Genomic DNA, 22,250 nt, shown 5'->3' on the forward strand with positions numbered 1-22,250 from the left:
CTGACATTAGGATTACAGAGGAAGAGTTGGGGTGGTAGTTGGTAAGTGTTGTTTTGCTCAAGTTGAGTTTGAGATATAAAGAGAACATCTGACTGGAACTCAGTAAGAGGACAGAGTTAGAAATACAGATCTGTAAGTTACCAAACTATAAGTAGAAGCTGGGAGTAGATGAGATAACCCTGGGAAACAAAAAGGAAGAATAGAGTGGAATACTGGGAAAACAGCACATTTAAAGGGCTGGAGGAAGAAGTGGGGGCTTCTAAAAATGACAAGAAATGGTCAACAACAAAAAAAGAAAACTTAAAAGTCTTAATGTCCCTGAAACCATACGAAAAGTAAGTATTTAGGAAGTGTTCAACAATGCCAGCTACTTCAGAGAGATCAAATTAAAATAAGAACTGAAAAATGTCTTTGGGCTTGGCAACTTAAGTCACTTAAGTTAGCTACGACCCCAGTGAGGGCAGATGCAATTGAAAGGCAAGGCTAGAAGCTAGATTACAGTCCATTGAAGAGTAAATGACTTGTAACCTCACGAGATAGTTAACCTAGTCACTTAGAAAGCTATTGTATAAAACACAAATTTCCAGGAGTGAGGTTTCTGCTATTCTTTCAAGTGCCCACAGCCCCCACCCCCCCACCCAGGACTCCCTGGAAAATAGACCTGAAGCAAAGGAAGATTCATTTCCATCACACTGACCAAGCCAGAGCCTCCACTCTCACTCTCCTTGCCTCCTCAACCCCATACTTTGTTTATGCAAGAAAACAGCTGGGGTTTCTTTCTACTTCCCCTTACCCCCCTAACAATACAACCCAGTCAGGTGCAAATGAAAACTTAAAGTCCAAAAGGGTAATGGGCTTGGGGAGTGGGAAGAAACAGGTGGTGGTGGGGTGAAGAAAAGGCCTTAGAATGCATTTGAAAGAAGAAGGCTGTCATTTTAATTTTAATATAAGCATATCGGTAGGGAATAAACCCAATGTTTTTAACTCTGGGCCTAATTCTATAATTCTATATCAGAATTAATCAGACACCTAATTTACACTTACATGACAAAATTTTACTGCCATAAAACCTAATATCAAAAAAAAAGTATTCCTAAATTCACTTCATTGAGTTGCAAGTATACACAATTTAAAAGTGAAATTTATTTTGTGGAGGAGGAATAGTTCAATTCCTAACTCTGTTGCCCAGGATGGAGTGCAGTGGCATGATCTCAGCTCACTGTAACCTCCGCCTCCCGTGTTCAAGCAATCCTCCTGCCTCAGCCTCCCGAGTAGCTGGGACTACAGGCACGCAACACTACACCTAACACCTTTTAATACTTCTGTCAAACAGAATGAAGTACAACTTTCCCGGCAAGACATGAATTTCAGGCAGAGCATGAAATATTCAAGTGCACCAATGACACTACCAATAAATAAAACCATCAAATCTTAACATATTCAAAAAATATCCGGTTGTAACAACTTTTTAAAAAAATTTCTACTTATCTTGAGAGCCCTAAGTTATCTATGTGTTCCTACTGAACAAATCATGAAGAAACTATAGATGGGCTGATAAAAAGAAAATAATTTTCACTTGACATTTTCTTTTTCTTTTTTTTTGTTTTGAGATGGAGTCTTGCTCTGTCACCAGGCTGGAGTACCGTTGCGCAATCTCAGCTCACTACAACCTCCAACTCTGTGGTTCAAATGATCCTCCTGCCTCAGGCTCCCGAGTAGCTTGAACTACATGTGTGTGCCAACACGTCCAGCTAATTTTTGTATTTTTAGTAGCGACGGGGTTTCACCATGTTGGCCAGGATAGTCTCGATCTCCTGACCTCTTGATCCACCCACCTCGGCCTCCCAAAGTGCTGGGATTACAGGCATGAGCCGCCGCGCCTGGCCTCACTTGACATTTTCTAATGATATCAATGTGTGGACAAAATGACAGTATTATATGACATCAAGAATAAACTATTTCCTTGGTTCACTGATACTCAGCTGCTGCAGAAAAGTAACTACAGAACAAAGGGGGAAAAAGGTAAACATCATTGAACCCTTAGAAAGATTTGTCCTAATTTCAAATAAGCTGTTTGTTATAAAGAAATCCTATAAAATCTTCCAAGGTGCTGATAGGTGTTTTTGTCATTGTTAATTTTGTTTTTTTTTAATTAACTGATTAGAAAAAAAAGATGATTCATCTTTGATAACAAATACTGATGTGCTTTGTGCAGACTAAGGCATGCCTTAATGCCAATAGCTAATAGCTAACAGAAAAAGAACAGTTATTGCTTAGCATATTGAAGCCAAAATATGCTCCATCAATCACAATGAATAGTCAAATGGAAAATCCACTTTGGACACTGGAACTTCTGAGTTTAGGTACAATAAAATCTCATTATAGAATTTCTTCATTAAAAGTATTTTTACAGTATTTTAAGGTGCTCACATCTCTCATGTGACTCTCACAAATAAGCAGTTAAAAGAGGTAGGCCATTATTATAACCCATGTGTGGTAATTTCAGTAAACCGAAATTTCTGAGAGCAGCAAGTACCAAGTGCTATGGTCTGAATGTTTGTAATGTTTGTGTCCCACCAAAATTCGTATGTTGAAATCCTAACCCCCAGGGTGATGGTATTAGGAGGTGGGGTGATTAGGTCATGCAAGCGGAACCCTCATGAATGGGATTTGTGCTCTTATAAGAGAGAGAGACCCCAGAGATATCCTCACCCCTTCCAGAATATGAGGACAAGCGAGAAAGCACTGTTAAAGAACCAGAAAGTTGGTCCTCACCAGACACAAAACCTGATGTCACCTTGATCTCAGGCTTCCCAGCCTCCACAACTGTGAGAAATAAATTTCTCTTGTTTTTAAGCTACCAGTTTATGGTATTTTGTGATAATAGCCTGAACAGACTAAGACAGCAAGGTCTCACTGTGCTCACTGAGTCACTCAGGACAAATGTGTCCTACAGATCACAACATGTGAATGCAGCAGAAGTCCATGATGTGAATTGTTGAGACTCTTTGCAATGGGTTTCACTCTAGATTGGTTAACATTGGCTAAATCAATAAACAGACCCAACTCAATACAAGATATCATCACCTAATAAGGTCTAAAACTTTCCATTTCTCAAAGCTCTCCTCAAAACCTACACTGTCCTATACTCATAAACTCAGAGGAAACCACAAAGAGACCATAAATATATAGCATGTGGTCACCTGGTTAGTTAATGGCAGAACAGGACCCAGGGCTCCAACTTCCCAGTTCCAGGCCATTGTTGCTTAAACAGAAGATAACAGAGTACCAAAGAATTACCCACAAAGCCAACAACAAACTGAGGACTCACACCAATGTCTCTAAGAAGAGACAGATCTTTGTCTCTAAATTTTTAAATTTTTTCTTATCTTCTAAATTGTTTTTTACAGTATATTAAAAGTAAGTCCACAGAGCCCTGAACCAGTAAAAGAAATGAGAGCTCTCTAACAATAGTGCACATATAGTCATGCAGGCATAGAAAACATAATGTTTTTAAAGGAAAAAACAAAACAATAAAACCAATGCTGTTGCAGAGTCTACAATTACAATACAGGTCTAAAAATCTTCAATAAGGTTTTTGCAAGGTTATTAACTAAGAGAAACCATTAGAAAAATCTATGTGGTCAAAACTAATTTAATTTAAACAAAGTGTTGACCAAAATGGCAACTTCAAGAAAGATAAGCCACAATAGCTTAAAAAGTAAACAGGGTTGACCTTTAGAATAAATATTTACCTTGAATTCTAAGATAAGGAAGGGTAGTACCTCACTAGATGTATAGCTTTCATAAGTTTTCAAAAATACAGCTATTAAACTTTCATAAAATTTAATGCTCTATCACCGAACACATTAAATGTAAAGTGCAATGTTTCATAACAATAGAACAGAATCACACAGACTTCAGTTATGTTACCAACACAATCCTTAGTAATAAAAAAAACTAGGTTATTTTAATTTATTATAGTTTGACCTACAGCTCCTTCCTTCCTTACAATTGTTAAACGGTTCTTAGTATCTAGTTTTCTCAACAAAAAACAAAATCATCAGTTTTCTCTATGATGGCAACTTTCTAAAATACAAGGAACACCACAACCTCCTTGCTAACAACAGTAGCCACCATTTACTGAGTGCCTCCCACGTGCCATAAACTGTGTCACCAGTTTAATGTGCATTACCTCATTTAACCTTCAAAACAAAACTCATTAAAAAGTGAGTGAGTGGGTCACCCAACTGGAAAGCAACAGAATCTACATATAAACTCAAGTACATCTGAGACATTTCTGGTCACCATGTTGCTGCTAACCCAAATGAGTACACGCTCAAGGCATTGGGGAATCAGAATTGACCTAATGGATATTAGGCATTGAGACTGAGAGAACTTAAGAATATTCAATAGTTGTGCAGTCCCTTTATAGAAATATGCAAGTGTGAGAATAACTCCTGGGAGAGGTAGGGAAAAAACATCTTAACCTTGACATCATTCTTTAGAAACTGTATGGGATGATTCTTAACCTTTTTAGGAATTTCATTAAAAAAAAGATATGGATCTTCTTCCTAGAGAATCACATATAATATTTTGCATTATTTTAGAAGGTTCTGACTCCTAAAGTCCATTCCATCCACACATCTCAGTTAAAAAATTCCCAAGTGATTGGGCTGAGAATCCACAGAATGAAGCTAAGAAAGTGCAAACTGACACAAATAGAATGCTTTGGAAATTGTTTTCAAATGTTAGTACAGCTCTGTTCGTGTAAATGATACTAAATTTCAAAGCTCTGACAAATCTACTGCAAGGAACTCACAGAAGGAAAGAAAAGAGGTTTAGATGCTGCCACTGACTGATACACTTACCGTTTTCCTGTGCAATTCTTGTCATTCAGGCCACCAACTTTGTTTATAGCAGACCAGGCTGTGAGAGCCACATATGGCAAAGAGGCAGCTTGAGTATGAGTGAGTGATTTGGGTTTGTGAGAGACCTACATTTGAAGACAACAGTCAAAAATAAGCAATGACTTGCAAACCTATGAACACAATTAAGCACATTTACCTTCACAGGAATCCAGCTGACCCTTGAACAACAGGGGTTTGAATTGTGCAAGTCCACTTATACGTGGATTTCCTGCCTCTGCCACCTCTGAGACCAGCAAAACCAACCCTTCTTCTTCCTACTCCTCCTCTTTCTAGTAACTTGAACACAACAAGGATGAAAATCTTTATGATGATCCACTTAATGAATAGTAAGTATACTTTTCTTCATTTTTTTTTTTTTTTTTTTTTTTGAGACGGAGACTTGCTCTGTCGCCCAGGCTGGACTGCAGTGGCGTGATCTCGGCTCACTGCAAGCTCCGCCTCCCGGGTTCACACCATTCTCCTGCCTCAGCCTCCTGAGTAGCTGGGACTACAGGCGCCCGCCACTGCGCCCAGCTAATTTTTTGTATTTTCAGTAGAGACAGGGTTTCACCGTGTTAGCCAAGATGGTCTCGATCTCCTGACCTCGTGATCCGCCCGCCTCGGCCTCCCAAAGTGCTGGGATTACAGGCGTAAGCCACCGCGCCTGGCCTATGATTTTCTTAATAACATTTTTTCTAGCTTCCTTTATTGTAAGGATACAGTATATAATATACATAACATATTCTAGCTTCCCTTATTATAAGAATACAGTATATAATATACATAACATATTCTAGCTTCCTTTATTCTAAGAATACAGTATATAATATACATAACATATAAAATATGTGTTAGTTGACTTTTTTGAGATGGAGTCTTGCTCTGTCACCCAGGCTGGAGTGCAGTGATGCAATCTCAGCTCACTGCAACCTCTGCTCACTGCAACCTCCGCCTCCCAGGTTTAAGCGATTCTCCTGCCTCAGCCTCCCAAGTAGCTGGGACTACAGGCGCCCAACACCATGCCCGGCTAATTTTTGTATTTTTAGCAGAGACAGGGTTTTACCATATTGGCCAGGCTGGTCTCGAACTCCTGACCTTGTGATCCACGCACCTCGGCCTCCCAAAATGCTGGGATTACAGGTGTGAGCCACTGCACCCAGCCTTAGTTGGCTTTTTATGTTATCGGTAAGGCTTCTGGGCAACAGTAGGCTATTAGCAGTTAAGTTTTAGGGGAGTCAAAAGATGTAGGTGCATTTTCTACCTCACAGGGGTAGGTGCACCAACTCCTGCATTGTTCAGGGGTCAACTGTATTTTCACAGATAAATCTATAAAATCATTCCAGTTCATGTTTGTTGCATATCTTACTCCAAGATTATCCTTAATAAATATTGCATAGCTCTATCTGTTGCATATCTTGGAGTAGGGTAAGCAATATGCATACCCTACTCCAAGATTATCCTAATAAATATTGTATAGAATAGCTCTACCTGCCTCACAGATGTTCAGTAATGTTATGTAGGCTACATTATCAGATATAACTACTTCATTGTTTATAAAAAGACCACATCAATATTCCCATTAGTCGTGAAGTAAATCCAAATAAACCTTGAACTCTCAAAAACACGTCCTAATTAGTTTTTGAGATCAGCTGTTTCCTTTACTCTCATTTTCTGGAAAGGAAATCTTTCTAGGTTTTCTCTAATCTCAGTAATAACCTTTTCCCCCTTCCTGCCCTCCCTTCTGTAGCCAATTTCCTCAATGTTAACCCCTTTCTCTCTATTCAATTTGTTGGTCTCCTGACTGTATTTGATTAGACTCCTGTTTTTAAAGTTATTCAAAACCGCTGGATATTTCCATGTCTCCACTGATGACTAATCCATCCTCTCTACTGCCTATATCTGTTTTCAACTATTTATCTAGGGTAAAACCAAGCAACACAGCAGGGTTCTAGGTCTCATTCCAAATCCCTGCTCTATGAGAGAAAAACAGCTACGTTAGCAGGCAGTGTTACTGAATGGCATCAAATACTTTTTTAATCTCTCAAAAATTCCTATATTCTATATTATCTTTTTATAAACTGCCCCATCAAACATAAACTAGATCTGAAAAACACCAGTTATTTCAGATATTTGCCAGTCTTTGTTTAAACTTTCTAATGCATTTCAGCAGAGTTGGTAAGTTACCTCATTCCCACTGACTACAACAAACTCTGAAAGAGTGCCTTGTTTCCAAGGAGGAACTGCAGCCCAGACCTGAAACACACACAGACAGACAGCTTCATTAGAAACACAGATATTTTTTGACCGAAGCTAAGCAAGAAAGTGTTCCCTAATATATACCCTGTGCTGTGAAAAACACAGAAGTCAGCACTACACCAAGCAGGAGTGTTATTTTCATGATATAAATTTATTACTTAGTATGATTCTAGATTTATCAAGTCAAACCACGCTGGAAGCAGATGCCAGCATATCCTGCTGCATTTACTGACTACTTCGAGTCCCAATAAGACCACAATCTCTGGGGTCTGAGTCCTGGCTCCACCACTTATTAGCTATGAGACCTCTTTATAGCTTGGCTTCCTCATCTGTAAACTGGGCCTAACTTTATCTACCTCAGAGGGATTAGATGACTTATTTTATAAAAAGCAACCAGAACAGTGTTAGCTATGATTATGAACTATCATTTCTTGGTACAAAAGTTCAAAGTGACAAGTGACAGGTGATTATACCAAACTTAAGCTATTTTAAAGCCATCTCATCCATAAGGCAGAAATTGTCATTTAAAGGCCCTTTCAAGGAAAAAAAAAATACCCTAATTCTATATATTTTAAAGTCTTGCATTTCTTAAGTACTAAACTTAGAAAACACAAACTCAGGTACAGTCAAGATATTTTGGAATTGTTTGTGAAAAAATGTAACAACAGAACCAAAAAAGTGATGGTTCTAGTCAAAGCTCAGTATATTTGTTGAAAAGAAGAAAAAAGTTCAACAGCATAGAATATACTTCTGAAACAGAATGAAATTTGCACATTTAGTAAAGGAATATGTGGGAGTTCAGTCAGGGTGGTGGGAAAAATTGTAAGAGGAAAAATTATAAAGATAGTTATAGGAAGTAGACACAAACCTACTTGGAAGGCCGGGGGTGTTGCACAGCTTTAGTAAAACATTTGGCTGAAAGCAGCCTAATTCTCTTTACCTTGAGTTGATAGCAATAGAGCAAATAACTAGGGAATGTGGGGGAGTTTATCTAAATAGTTTGTTTACTCAAGTGGTCCTAAGACCAATCTTTGATCTTTCATGGATGCATGATTGCTCTCTACTGCTGCAGAGGCAGGGCACGGTCGGCAATGTTAATTACCCTCTAGTGGTGTTTACTCGAGACCTACGTCATTTAATCTGTACTAAATAAATGCAAACTTTGTCAGTTTAGGGGGCAGATGCTGCAGATTCAGGGAGCAGAAGCCCCTTAGCTGCACTGACAGGCAAAGTATCTGTGTCAGTGTGCGTCTCTCATCCGTCGCTGGATCAGGGTCTGTGGGTTGGATCCCCGCAGGAATAGTGGCATTCCCTAACTCACCTCATCTCCAGGCTTGAAGTATTTCACATCAAGCCCACATTCCATCACCACGCCAGAGACATCCCGACCCAGAGTCAGAGGAAATTCTTCTCCTTTGATTTTCACGTGTAAAGGATCACGCTTCATATTTAAAGCTGTAGCTCCATAACCACCTGTAAAATACAATTTATCTGTTTCCTCCAAATGTAAGTATGAAATGCTTTTAAAACTACTACAGGGTTATAGTCCAGTACAATTTTAGGTCTTCAAGATGTAGATTATAAATCATTCCATTACAAAGACACATAAGTGTATGTTCACTGCAACACTATTCACAACAGCAAAGACATGGACTCAACCTAACTACCCATCAATGATAGACTGGATAAAAAAACTGTGGTACATACACACCATGGAATACTATGCAGCCATAAAAAGGAACGAGATCATGTCCTTTCCAAGGATATGGATGGAACTGGGGGCCATTATCCTTAGCAAATTAACACAGGAACAGAAAACTAAAGTGGGAGCTAAATGATGAGAACACATGGACACATAGAGGGGAACAACACACACTGGGGTTTTTCAGAGGGTGGAGGGTGGGAAGAGGAAGAGGATCAAGAAAAATAACTAGTGGGTATGAGACTTAATACTTGGGAGATGAAATACTCTGTAGAACAAACCCCCATGACACAAGCTCACCTATGTAACAAACCTGCACTTGTACCTCTCAACTTAAAAGTTTTTTAAAAAAGTAATCAACCTTATAATTTTTTGCCATTACATGGGAAAGCATAAAAAGATTTTCTTTAAAAAAAATTTACTTGGAAAGTGATAATCACTTATTAAACTAAAGCCACCATTGTTCAAAATATTTTTGAAATTCAAATTTTGAAACTGTCTTCAGAACTTTTAGTATTATCTTTTATACAGTTTTGCTTTGTTCTTTGAAGATGATGTCTTTATTAACGTATTCATGTCTTTATTAACGTACTCATTCACAAACTTTTTAAACAACAGAATATTTGGTGCCAGGTCTGGTGAAGACAAATGTTTAAGCTGTTTGAAGTCAATATATAAATAAGGCAAGAATATAAAGTACTTGATGCTGACAACAGTTTACCAGTAATGATCCCCACATCCTTAAACATGTTTCTAGAACAACATCTTTGAAATAAATTGGAATAAATTCCTGAGTGATAAAAAGCCTCTTGGCTGCATCTGTTCTGATGTGTAAAATCAAGTTGTTTTATTTCACATCTTTTTATTTATTTTTTTGAGACAGGGTCTCGCTCTGTCATGAGGCTGGAGTGCAGTGGCATGATCTTGGCTCATTGCAACCTCTGCCTCCAGGGTTCAAGTGATTCTCCTGCCTCAGCCTCCCGAGTAGCTGGGACTACAGGCACACACCACCACAGCCACCTAATTTTTGTATTTTTAGTAGAGATGGGATTTCACCATGTTGGCCAAGATGGTCTCAATCTCCCTACCTCGTGATCCGCCCGCCTCGGCCTCCCAAAGTGCTGGGATTACAGGTGTAAGCCACTGCACCCGGCCTATTTTATTTATTTTTTTAAGAGATGAAGCCTCACTCTGTTGCCCAAATGCAGTGATGTGATCTTGGCTCACTACAACCTCCACTTCCTGGGTTCAAGCCATTCTCATGCCTCAACCTCTGGAGTAGTTGGGATTACAGGTGTGCGCCACGTCTGGCTAATTTTGTAGAAACAGGGATTCATCATGTTGGCCAGGCTGGTCTCAAACTCCTAGGCTCAAGCGATCCACCCACCTTGCCTCCCAAAGTGCTGGGATTACAGGCGTGAGCCACCACACCTGGCCCATATCTTTTTATTTTTAAGACTATTTACAGGCCAGGTGTGGTGGCTCACATCTGTAATCCCAGGACTTTGGGAGACCAAGGTGGGAGGATTGCTTGAGTTCAGGAGTTCAAAACCAGCCTAGAGCTCATCTCTACTAAAAATTTTAAAAATTAGCCAGGCATAGTGGTACATGCCTGTAATCCCAGCTACTCAGGAGGCTGAGGCAGGAGGATTGCTTGAGCCCAGGAGTTTGAGACTGCAGTGAGCCATGATCACACCACTGCACTCCAGCCCAGGTGACAAAGCAAAGCTCTGTCTCAAAAAAAAAAAAAAAAGAAAAAGAAAAAGAAAAAGAAAAAGAATACTTATATAAATATCAGCTAAATAAAACTGAAAACATTCTTTTAATTTTTTGGTTCAAGTAAATTTGCTACTCTATAATAATCCAGAGTAATTTATTACATGGCTTCCATATACAACGTGACTTTTCTCAGACCCAAAAGTATCTGTTATTCTCTCTTCTGCTTGACCTTTTTTTGAGAACCTGTCTGCCATGTGAGGCTTTCCATGATAGGCACCCTGCCTACCTCTCCAGTGTCATGTACCACTCACTCCCTGCCCCACAACGCATGCTCCACAGTCACTAACCCACTCTGTACGTCTCCCCTTGCCCCGCACCCACTCCTGTGGGCAATCCATTAGATCTTAGGGATGAGGAGAAAGCAGCAAAGGAGACTAAGGCGGCAGTTTAAAGACATTCAATGCTGCTGACGGGAGACAGGTTTTCAAATAAGGTCCAAAGATGCTAAGAGGCTTTAAAACAAACAAACAAGCCTGGATCTAACAGACCTTTGGTAACCCTGCCAGGAGCAACTGCTGTGTAGTGCACTTTTGAGAGAATGGGAAATAAGGGACTGGAGACATGAGAAGACTGAACTCTCTTTAAAACAGTTTTGTTGCAAAGGGAGCAGAGAAATGGAGCAGTAGCTCGAAGTGGGAACTGGGATGGACAGAGGACTTTTGAGTGGCTTTTTTCTTTTTTTTCTTTTTTTTTTTTTTTTTTTTGAGACAGAGTCTTGCTCTGTTGCCCAGGCTGGAGTGCAATGGCGTGATCTCGGCTCACTGCAACTTCCGCCTCCCGGGTTCAAGCGATTCTGCTGTCTCAGCCTCCTGAGTAGCTGGGATTACAGGCATGCGCCACCACGCCTGGCTAATTTTTAGTAGAGACGGGGTTTCTCCATGTTGATCAGGATGGTCTCGAACTCCTGATCTCAGGTGATCCACCTGCCTCGGCCTCCCAAAGTGCTGGAATTACAGGTGTGAGCCACTGTGCCCAGCCTTTTCCTTCTTCTTAAGAAAGGAGAAATAACAGCAAGTCTGTATACTAATGGAGATGATCCAGTAGAAAAGAAAAGACTGATGATGCAGGAGACACCTGCCGGAATGATATCCCAGAGTAGGTGAGGGGGATGGGATCAGAAACACAAGCCGAGGGCTGGCCTTATGTGAAAGCAGTGACAGCTAATCCATACAGCAGGAGGGAAGGTAGAAGATACCGAGAGAGATGCTGACAGGTGGGTAGCTTGCATGAGTTGTGTTACTAATAAAAAATCAAGACACATGGGATAAAGTGTTTGAAAGGTGGGAAAGTCCCAGAAAATCTAAGCTGATGGCCATTATACCAACATTACAACATTTGCCATCTGGGGAGTCAGGATTATACTCTGTCAGGGAAAAAAAAAACAACTTCACTTGTAATATTCACAAAAGTCATGTGCTTCACTTTTCCTGCCTTACATTCCTTTTCCACTGCTAAAGATAATTAAACAATTATTCACTGAAACTTCTATGTGGTTTGAACAACAGAAGTGGACATTTAGTCGTGTCAAACTTTAGCTGCTGTTTAAGAGCTGCAGAAAGGTTTCAGTCCTCTTTGAGATACAGAGCCTGCAGCCCAAGGTTGTTTTTAGTTTTCTTGGTCCCCTGATAATGCTAATACATCAACTGAGTAGCCTTGGCTCACTGTTACTATCTAACAAGCCCCTGAACCCAGAATGTAGTCAGCTGGCAGTTAGTAATTGAGAACCTGTTTGGTGACACGGATGACTGAATGGGGCCCTTAAGTGTTCCATCCTATTGACAGGGGTTGACACCTTGACTTGTTCAGAGAGTTGGGCCAATTTGAAAAATCCTAAATCTGTCATCAGTTTAAAGACTTTAATCCCATCTAAAGACACCAAACTTTGTTGGTATGATGCTGTTGGCTGCATTTTTTCCCCATGTAAAAATTCTTCATTTCTTTAGCCATTTCTATGATTTATTATTTTACGTCCAACAGTAGTGGCCGTCTCCAGAAAAACAGCCAGCCTTCATCTTTCAAATAAAATAGACATGTCTCTTGCTTTCTTGCCAAGGGAAATAACTGCTTCCTACAGTTTACAGTCTTCTACTCATTATTTTATTTCCCCAAGCTACTGTTTCAGATATCTTCTGCAATGACAATAAATATCCTCAAAAGGTAGGAGAAAAAAAAAAAGAGGATAACTTGCGAATAATATTACCCATTCAAGTCATAAAAAACTAAGATGTTTCAAGAATACTATATAAAAGTAAAATGTTTTACAGTGTTATATTATTAAACAGCAGCCAAGAAAAGTCTAGATACAGCCATTCTGTTTAAATGAAAATGTACACGGCATGAATTACGCATGTGCATTTAAAGAAATAAAAAGCTAACAGACCTAAACGAAGACAAAATGTAAAAATTACTCATAGATAAAATACTGCTAATTTAAGTTTGTTATCTTAAGTCAGAACAAAAATATAAAAAGGCATAGAAATAGTGACTGAATGACAACTGCGTATGTGAAGCACTGAAACAGGTTGACAAAGCATGGGATCAATCTTGAAAGAACTTACAATCAAAGGAGATGAAAAAACATGCTGATCATTGAGTAAAACTTACCACTAAAAGACATATCTTATAAAAAACTGAATTCTCTTCAAGCCTAATATAAAAAGAATAAAGGAAAACGGCATGCCCAACTGGTAGTAGCAATTACTACTTCAAAACAAAGAATACAAACGTAGACTTCATGAGACAATCACAGTAAAGTCATTTCAATGCTTTTTTTTTTTTTTTTTTTTTTTTTTTTGAGATGGAGTCTCACTCTATCGGCAGGCTGGAGTGCAAGGGCGCGTTCTTGGCTCACTGCAACCTCCGCCTTCCGGATTCAAGCGATTCTCCTGCCTCAGCCTCCCACCAACACAGTGAAACTCCCGTTTCTATAAAAATACAAAAATTAGCTGGGTGTGGCGGCGCATGTCTGTAGTCCCAGCTACTTGGGAGGCTGAAGCAGGAGAATCGCTTGAACCCGGAAGGCGGAGGTTGCAGTGAGCCAGGAAAGCGCCCTTGCACTCCAGCCTGCCGATAGAGTGAGACTCTGTCTCAAAAACAAACAAAAAACCCCATAAATTCTAAACTGACTAGGAAACAACTATACTTCCGAAGCCTGTGACGGATCTCAGAATACCACAAAGTTCCCTGGACAGAAATTTAGCTACAAACATAGGCAGGGCGCAATGGCTCGTCTGTAATCCCAGCACTTAGGGGGCGGAGGCAGAGGATCGCCTGAGGTCAGGAGTTCGAGACCAGCCTGACCAACATAGTGAAACCCCATCTCTACTAAAAATACAAAAAATTAGCCCGGTGTGGTGGCATGCGCCTGTAATCCCAGCTACTCGGGAGGCTGAGGCAGGAGAAATTGCTTGAACCCAGGATGCGGAGGTTGCAGTGAGCTGAGATCAGGCCACCGCACTCTAGCCTGGGTGACAGAGTGAGACTCAGTCTCAAAAAAAAAAAAGTTAGCTACAGACACAGTTCTCAAGTCTGAACTTACATATTTAAGGACGCATGAAAACAATCAAGCTTATATTTTGTCAATACAAATGGCCAGAAGGATTCCCTGGCCATTGCAATTTCAAAAATTTTGGAAATATTTGCAGAGGTATTGTTAAAAACCTAAATGATTCATTTATGTAAACCAAAGAAGCGTAGTCAATTTTTTAAAACGGCATACCTTATGAAAGTGATTTTTTTAAAAAAGGTAACAATGTCTTTTGAAAACTTACTTCTCATATTAACGTCTATAGGATTTACACTGGCAGCGTGAACTTTGACAATGACTTCATTTGGATAGTGTATGATAGGCATCATCATGTTCTGAGTGAATCGAAGCACTTCATTCTTCCCATATTTATCTATCACCCAAGCAGGCATGACAGTGCTCCTAGGAGAGGTAGTACTAATCCTTCTAACTGAAGGCTTTTGGACAACTTTGCTTCTCCAGAAGCAAACCGCAGTGCATGCATTTCTTCTAAGTACACAAGTCTTCAGAAATTCCATTGTAAACACTGGTTGAACTGCGTGCTCAAATTCAAATACACTTGGACTGGATCAAACTCTCACCCCTGAATTCAGTCAAATTCTGCCAAACCACGGGCTAGTTTCAAAATTAAGCATGCAAAACGGAGCATTCGAAAATGAAGCTAATCTAATGGAGAAACTGAAAGAAGAATACGGAACTGTTATTCCGCTCTTCGCATATGAAATGCTCGAATTAACGTTCCAGTCAGTATTCTGTCCATTCTCCTCCCTCACTTTCACCCCCTCCACTTTAAAAAAAAAAGGGGGGGCGGGGCATTAAAAAGCAGGTGCGCAAACCCCCTAGATCCCTGCCCTGTCCTGGGAGCCCTCGGCGGGACAAGCAGACACCGCTCGCGATCCAACGCCAGAGAATCGAACGCTTGCCGACTGCCGCCGCGACCCTGGCCCGGAATCTCCTTGCCTGCCCGCTCTCCTTAGCCGCCGGGATGGCTTTGCGGCGCCAACCAATCGCCTACAAAGATCATTTCCTCGGGCTGCAATTCAACCAATCCAAGTACTCGGTGTTGAAGGGCTCAGTGACAATTAAAGATGGCTGCGCCCATGTAACATCACTAGCGACCGGTGACCTCTTTTTCCCCCTTGCCTGGCTCCTGTGGTGGCAGGCTGGGCACGAGGACCATGCTGGGCCGGAGCCTCCGAGAAGTGAGTGGAATTGGCCCGCTGAGGCCCCCGGGAGGGCGGAAAGTTTAACGGACTTCGTTGACAAAGAGTCCCTGGGCCTTACCACGCATCTTGGCCCACCTCGCTGCTTCCTCTAGAACTGAGTGGGGGATAAGTACCTTTCGATTCTTCGGGTGTACTCGCCGTACCCATTCAGGAGTTAGGACCTTAGCAGGGAAATCTCTGCACCGCGGATCTGTAGGGTGGTGAAGCGGCTTCTCACCATTAGACATTTGCTCTGGTGTAGGTCGGGATCCGGATGGTCTCGGAGTGGGCTTTGCCAAAGGGGGCTTGCGGGGCCACTTCAGTCTCTCTTCTGTCCCCGACACTTAGCTGCAGTTGTCGCTAAGAAGCCCGGCGAAACTGTAGTTTGCAAAATTCAAATGAGTAATTTTTGGCTTTTTTCAAAGAATTCGTTCTCTAGGATTTACCTACCACTAAGATACCAGTGATTTCCTAACCCGTGTCTCCATGTCCTGGACGTCGTGTTTGAATTCTAGACTGTATTTGTGAATGCTTTCTGGGCAGTTCTTCTAAATGTCACATAAGCACCCTCAAATTCACTTTAATCGGTGTTGAAGTAATCATTGTAACAGGACTTACCTCTCAACCCCCGTCTTAAAAAAGCTCTGGTATTTCTGAATTCTTAATAGACTCTTTTTAATGGCACAACTATTATCTCATTTGCCTTTAGATTCTTCCTCATCTTTCATATCCAATAAATCACTAAGCCCTCTTCATTCTATCTTGCAGATATGGCTGGAATCTGCCCTCTTACGTTATTTCTGCTGTTATAGCTTTAATTCGGGTCTTTTTGCTTCCTGGTTCACGTCACTCAACCTTAGAACTGTCTGCAGGCCCATTGCTATCAGAGTCACATAAAGCACCTGTTGAAACTAAAACTATGCCCCACTCTAGACTTAATTAGAGCTGTGTGGTAAGTTCGGGAGTATGGTTTAATGGAGGCTCCAGGTGATTTCTGGTAAGAAGTAGGCGCTGATGACCTAAACTGCCTTCCATCTTCCTTTTTATTCCACCCTAGAAGTTGTCGTTTTGTTTGTTTCCCAGCTGGCAGCGTGGAATTATAATTATAGATAGCTGTAATATATAATGAGAAATTGAAATCCACAGGCTTTAAATAATAGTTCTTCCCCCAAAATACATTATTATGTTATCATTTTAAATTGCGTCGAATCAAATTTGTTCTTTAAAAAATAAATATGCCCGGCGCGGTGGCTCACGCCTGTAATCCCAGCACTTTGGGAGGCCGAGGCGGGTGGATCACGAGGTCAGGAGATCGAGACCATCCTGGCTAACACGGTGAAACCCCATTTCTACTAAATATACAAAAAATTAGCCGGGCGTAGTGGCGGGCGCCTGTAGTCCCAGCTACTCGGGAGGCTGAGGCAGGAGAATGGCGTGAACCCGGGAGGCGGAGCTTGCAGTGAGCCAAGATCACGCCACTGCACTCCAGCCTGGGCGGCAGAGCAAGACTCCGTCTCAAAAAATAAATAAATAAAATAAAAATAAATAAACAGACAACACCCAAAACTTGTTTTAAAATTAAATACAACCTATAAAAATATGTTATTTCCTTTTTCTGCCTTTTCCACTGTCAATCTAAGTAACAGAAAGAGACTCTAAAGAAAATATTTATTTTGGAGTAGCAATGCAATGGGAATATGTGTAATATTGTAAACTATGTGCCTATTCAAGAAGGTTGAGGCAAGGGATGTTTTTAAAGACAGAATGAGAAGGATTACTTAAATTATTTTGAATCAGTTATCCTTGGCCACAAGGATCAGTCACAAAGGTGGCATCAGTCCAAGGTTGGATGGCCAGTTGCTGGACAGACATTCTTACAGAAGTACTCGTGTGTGTGGAAGGTTGCAATGGCCTTTGTGCAAGGTTGTGTTTTTTGCAGTCTTATGATTGTTTTTAAAAAAAAATTTTAATGGGTACATAGTAGGTGTATGTATTTATGGGGCACATGAGATATTTTGATACAGGCATACAATGCATAATAATCACATCAGAGTAAATGGTGTATCCATCACCTCAAGCATTTATCATTTCTTTGTGTTACAAACGTTCCAGTTATACTCTTTTAGTTATTTTTAAACGTACAATAAACTATTGTTGACTGTAATCACCTGCTGTGCTATCAAATACTGTATCTTATTCATTCTGTCTAACTATATTTTGTACCCATTACCCATCCCCACTTCCCACCCCTACTACTACCCTTTCAGGCCTCTAGTAACCATCATTCTACTCTACCTCCACGAGGTCAATTGTTTTCATTTTTAGCTCCCACAAATAGGTGAGAACATGGGAAGTTTGTCTTTCTGTGCCTGGCTTATTTCACTTAACATAATGCCCTCCAGTTCCATCCATGTTGTTGCAATTGACAAGCTCTCGTTCTTTTTATGGCTGAATAGTACTCCATTGTGTACATGTAGGACATTTTCTCTATCCATTCATCTGTTGGTAGATACTTAGCTTGCTTTCAAATCTTGGCTATTGTGAATAGTGCTGCAATAAACATGAGAGAGCAGATATGTCTTTGCTATGTTGATTTTCTTTCTTTTAGGTGCATATATACGTAGCAGTGGGATTGCTGGATCGTATGGTAGTTCTATTTTTATTTATTTATTTTTAATTATTTTTTTTTTAGAGATGGGGTCTCACTATGTTGGCCAGGTTGGTCTTGAATTCTTGGCTTCAAGCAATCCTCCTCCCTCAGCCTCCCAAAGTGCTAGGATTACAGGTGTGAGCCACTGTGCCCAACCAGTAGTTCTATTTTTAGGTTTTTAAGGCACCTCCATACTATTCTCCATAGTGGCTGTAGTAATTTACATTTCATCCAACTTTTCTCCATCCTCACCAGCATTCATTATTGCCTGTCTTTTGGATAGAAGCTATTTTAACTGGAGTGAGATGATATCTCATTGTAGTTTTGATTTGCAATTCTCTGATGATCAGTGATGTTGAGCACATTTTCATATACCAGTTTGCCATTTATATGTCTTTCTTTTGAGAAATGTCTATTCCAATCTTTTGCCCATTTTTAATTTGATTATTGGATTTTTTCCTGTTGAGTTGTTTGAACTCCTTATATACTTCGGTTATCAATCCCTTGTCAGCTGGAGTGTGATAGTTCTTCTTATCAGGCATTCATGCGTGAGAACCCTCTCTTCTTGACCTTCCTTGGCTCCATTTGTCAGGATTTTAACACAAGTCACTCTATTTTGATTTTGACAACTGTCATAGCTCCTTAAGTGCTACCTTTTTTAGTGCTACTTCTCTCTGGTGTCATTGAGTTAGCCATTGTGAAAAACAACTTTTGCCGCATGGGGGGAGAAAAGAACTATTTAGGAGAGCTGACCCAGGGGAAAATCCAGAGGTTGCCTTGGCATGATTGCTTTTACTTTATCACTCCTTTAACAAATACTGATTAATGCCTAGCATGCAAAATATTTGGTGGTTATTTCCCCAGCTCTAAAACTACCTTCTGTCTACTTTGTATTTTTTCCACATCACTGTACTGTTGCCCTAAATTCTACCAATTAGAGATTAATTAATTCATACAAATTATCTTTTAATTTAATTCTCTTTTAAATATGTACAGATGCCTGGGAAGGTTGAACAATTTTTCCACCCATTGTTGTAAATTATAACAGTTCAAATTTCTTCATAATACCTTAATTGAGATAATCAGTTGAAGAGGGGGAAATTTGCGGGGAATTAGGGAGAAGGGCTGGAAATGATGGCAGCAATTTGGGGGATGTGAGTGGAAGCTTATGGTAACAGGAGTCCTGGGAATAGGCACAAAAAGGAGGTAAAATGCCAAATAGGTAAAATTCCCATTTGTAAATTTTACCCAAGTACATTCAGAAAGGGGGAGGAAATCTCACTTTTACCTTTGTCTTTTGTGGCATGATCCCAGTGTTTCTAGGAGTGAGGCACCAGGCTAATATTATTAATCCTAAAGTTTAAAGAATGATATATTCATTTGGCTTCTTGGAGCTTCAACTTTAGAAAAACTAATCATTGTTCTATAGGGAAATCGATTCTAAATTTTAAACAACTGTTATTCATTCAACTAACATTTAGTGAGTACCTCTGTGTTCCAAGTACTGGGGGGTAGCATTAAAGACGGACAGAAGCTCCTGCTTCCTGAAACCTAACTTTTTTGTGTGGAAACGCAGCCATTAAACACTTTAAAAAAAAAAAAAAGTAAATGATATAATTTCAGGTAGTATGAGTACTATGGAGAAAAATTAAGTAGATCATAGTATGAGAACTAGTTGGGGGAGCTGGACATTTTAGCTAGAGTGGTCAGGGAAGATTTCTCTGATTGAGTGAATAATACTTAATAGAGACCAGAAGGGCATGAAGGGGGAACACTGGGCAGATCTGAGAGAATAGTGTTCCAGGCAGATGGAACAGTAAGTACAAAGACCCTAAAACAAGAGCAAGCTTAACATGTTCAAGGAATAGCAAAAGGGCCAATATGCCTGGAGAGAAGTGAATGAGGAGAGCAATGAGAGAAGAGGTTAGGGAGACAGGTAGGAGCCAAATTGTGGAGAACCTTTGAGGCCACAGTAGGGAGTATGGATTTTATTCCAAGTGTAATGGGAATCTTCTGGAAAGTTTTGAATCTGTGGACATGATCTGAGTTAAAATTTTAAAAGCTCCTTCAGATGACTCTTAAGGGACCATGATCTTTAGAAAAGCAAGTAATAAAGCACAAAGACTGACCGGGTGCAATGGCTCACGCCTTTAAACCCAACACTTTCGGAAGCTGAGGCAGGCTGATTGTCTGAGCTCAGGAGTTCAAGACCAGCCTAGGCAATGTGGCGAACCCTGTCTTTACAAAAAATACAAAAATTAGCTGGGCATGGTGGTGCATGCCTTTAGTCCCAGCTGCTCAGGAGGCTGAGGTGGGAGGATCACTTGAGCCTCGGAGGTTGAGGCTGCAGTGAGGCGAGATCACATCCGTGCACTCCAGGTTTGGCAACAGAGCAAGGCCCTGTCTCAAAAAAAAAAAGCAAGAAAGCATGAAGACCAATTAGAAGCCTGTTGCATTGGCGAGATAATGGGAGTGGATATTGTTTTTTAAGTCAGGGTTTGCAGATGTTTTGGATATGGGGTTTGAGGAAAAGAGAAGAATCAAGGAGGATACTTAGGTTTTGGGCTAGGGCAGTTGGGGAAATGTGACATCAAGATGGGAAAACCTTAAAGGGAACATGTTTGGAAGGGGAAGGTTATCAAGAGTTTTGTTCTGGATGTGTTAATTTTTAGATGCCTCCTAGATATCCAAGTGAAGATATCAGTTAAGCAACTAGATACAAGAGTTCAGAGCTCAGAAAAGAGGCTAGGTAAGAGGATATACATTGGCCAGAGTGTAGAAGATAATTAAAGCTATAGGGCCAGATGAGATTACCTGGGAAGTTGAGTGTAAAAATAGAAGAAGACCTAAAATTCCAACATTTTGGAGGTCAACAATAGGAAGTAAAGCCAGCAAAAGAGACTTGAAAGAATGCCCAGTGAGACAGGAGGAAAACCAGGATGGCATGGTGTCCTGAACACAGAGAAGAAGTGTTTCAAGGAGGGAGTGGTCACTTGTGTTGAATGCTACTAAGGAGTACTATAAAATGAGGGCTGGTGCTGACCAGTGGGTTTAGCTATGTGGAGCTTGCTGGTGATCTTGATACGCAGTTTCAAGAAGCAAGAAGGCAAAAGCATGAATGGACTGTGTTAAAGAGAGGATGAGTACCCATCACTGGAACACTCAGCCCTCAAGAGCTCTCCTGTACCTTCAGCACTTACCAAGGCAAACTTTTTTTAAAGACCATTCTTTTCTGGCTAGGCACAGTGGCTCTCGCCTATAATCCCAGCATTTTGGAAGGCTGAGGCGGGCAGATCACGAGGTCAGGAGTTCAAGACCAGCCTGACCAACATGGTGAAACCCCGTCTCTACTAAAAATACAAAAATTATCCAGGTGGTGGCACACGCCTGTAATCCCAGCTACTCAGGAGGCTGAGGCAGGAGAATCGCTTGAACCCGGGAGGCCAAGGTTGCAGTGAGCCGAGATCGCACCACTGCACTCCAGCCTGGGCAACAGAGCGAGACTCCATTTCAAAAAAAAAAAAAAGACAGTTCTTTTCCTAAGTGTACCTCTAATGCTGTCTGTTAAGTTAATTAAAATGTCTCCACTTCATTACAGAGAAATAAATGCCAAAATGTCTTGCATAGAGAATAATTATACAGGTTGAACATCCCTAATCTGAAAATCTGAAATGCTCCAAAATCCAAAACTTTTTGAGCACCAACATGATTTTCAAAGGGTGTGTTCAAAGGAGATGCTCACTGGAGCATTTTAGACTGGAGATTTTTGGGTTAGGGATGCTCAACTGGAAAGTATATAGTGCACATAGAGTACTCCAAAGTCTGAAAATATCCGAAATCTAAACACTTCTTGTCCCAAGCATTTTGGATAAGGGATACTCACCCTGTAGTATAGTAAGTAGTTCAGAGCATGAGTTTTGGAAACAAGATGAGTCCTCGGTTGAATCCCAGCTCTGCTACTTTTTTTTTTTTTTTTTTTTTAAGACGGAGTCTCGCTCTGTCTCCAGGCTGGAATACAGTGGCACAATTTTGGCTCACTGCAACATCTGCCTCCCGGGTTCAAGCGATTCTCCTGCCTTAGCCTCCCAAGTAGCTGGAACTACAGATGCACGCCACCACGCCCAGCTAATTTTTGTATTTTTAGTAGAGACGGGGTTTCACCGTGTTGGCCAGGATGGTCCTGATCTCTTGACCTTGTAATCTGCCCGCCTTGGCCTCCCAA

General features: G+C 40.7%; 2 protein-coding genes across 6 annotated transcripts in view, besides 3 other annotated features; one reads left to right on the plus strand and one right to left on the minus strand.

The window, feature by feature from the left end:
* The window catches only part of RTN4IP1 (reticulon 4 interacting protein 1), a 59,721-nt gene extending 43,560 nt beyond the window's left edge, over window positions 1–16,161 (minus strand). For 2 of the 4 annotated variants that reach the window (NM_032730.5, XM_017011376.3), the window contains exons 1-4: window positions 14,418–15,168; window positions 8,488–8,639; window positions 7,095–7,163; window positions 4,872–4,996 (exon numbers count right to left, since the gene is read on the minus strand). In NM_032730.5, the coding sequence (NP_116119.2) occupies window positions 4,872–4,996; window positions 7,095–7,163; window positions 8,488–8,639; window positions 14,418–14,691 (620 nt within the window). In that variant the 5' untranslated portion in view covers window positions 14,692–15,168. Of the gene's footprint in view, window positions 1–4,871; window positions 4,997–7,094; window positions 7,164–8,487; window positions 8,640–14,417; window positions 15,169–15,512; window positions 15,757–15,996 lie in introns of those variants that run through there. The other 2 variants (XM_011536192.3, NM_001318746.1) reach the window with 2 other exon arrangements.
* Window positions 104–610: an enhancer, noted in NCBI's record as "OCT4-NANOG hESC enhancer chr6:107062309-107062815 (GRCh37/hg19 assembly coordinates)". NCBI's record gives its function as "activates a minimal SCP1, AML or CMV promoter by ChIP-STARR-seq in naive H9 embryonic stem cells {active_cell/tissue: H9 hESC(naive)}" and the evidence as "EXISTENCE:reporter gene assay evidence [ECO:0000049][PMID:30033119]".
* QRSL1 (glutaminyl-tRNA amidotransferase subunit QRSL1) overlaps window positions 15,248–22,250 on the plus strand; it is a 38,840-nt gene continuing 31,837 nt past the window's right edge. For both annotated transcript variants that reach the window (XM_011535924.3, NM_018292.5), the window contains exon 1: window positions 15,248–15,375. Coding sequence is in view for 1 of the 2 variants with exons in the window: in NM_018292.5 (NP_060762.3) it covers window positions 15,352–15,375 (24 nt within the window). In the remaining variant the exon portion in view is untranslated. The remainder of the gene's footprint in view (window positions 15,376–22,250) is intronic.
* Window positions 15,250–15,389: an enhancer, noted in NCBI's record as "active region_24892". NCBI's record gives its function as "activates an Ori minimal core promoter by ATAC-STARR-seq in GM12878 lymphoblastoid cells {active_cell/tissue: GM12878}" and the evidence as "EXISTENCE:reporter gene assay evidence [ECO:0000049][PMID:35858748]".
* Window positions 15,420–15,479: an enhancer, noted in NCBI's record as "active region_24893". NCBI's record gives its function as "activates an Ori minimal core promoter by ATAC-STARR-seq in GM12878 lymphoblastoid cells {active_cell/tissue: GM12878}" and the evidence as "EXISTENCE:reporter gene assay evidence [ECO:0000049][PMID:35858748]".

Source organism: Homo sapiens, chromosome 6, assembly GCF_000001405.40.
Source record: "Homo sapiens chromosome 6, GRCh38.p14 Primary Assembly".
NCBI lineage: Eukaryota > Metazoa > Chordata > Mammalia > Primates > Hominidae > Homo > Homo sapiens.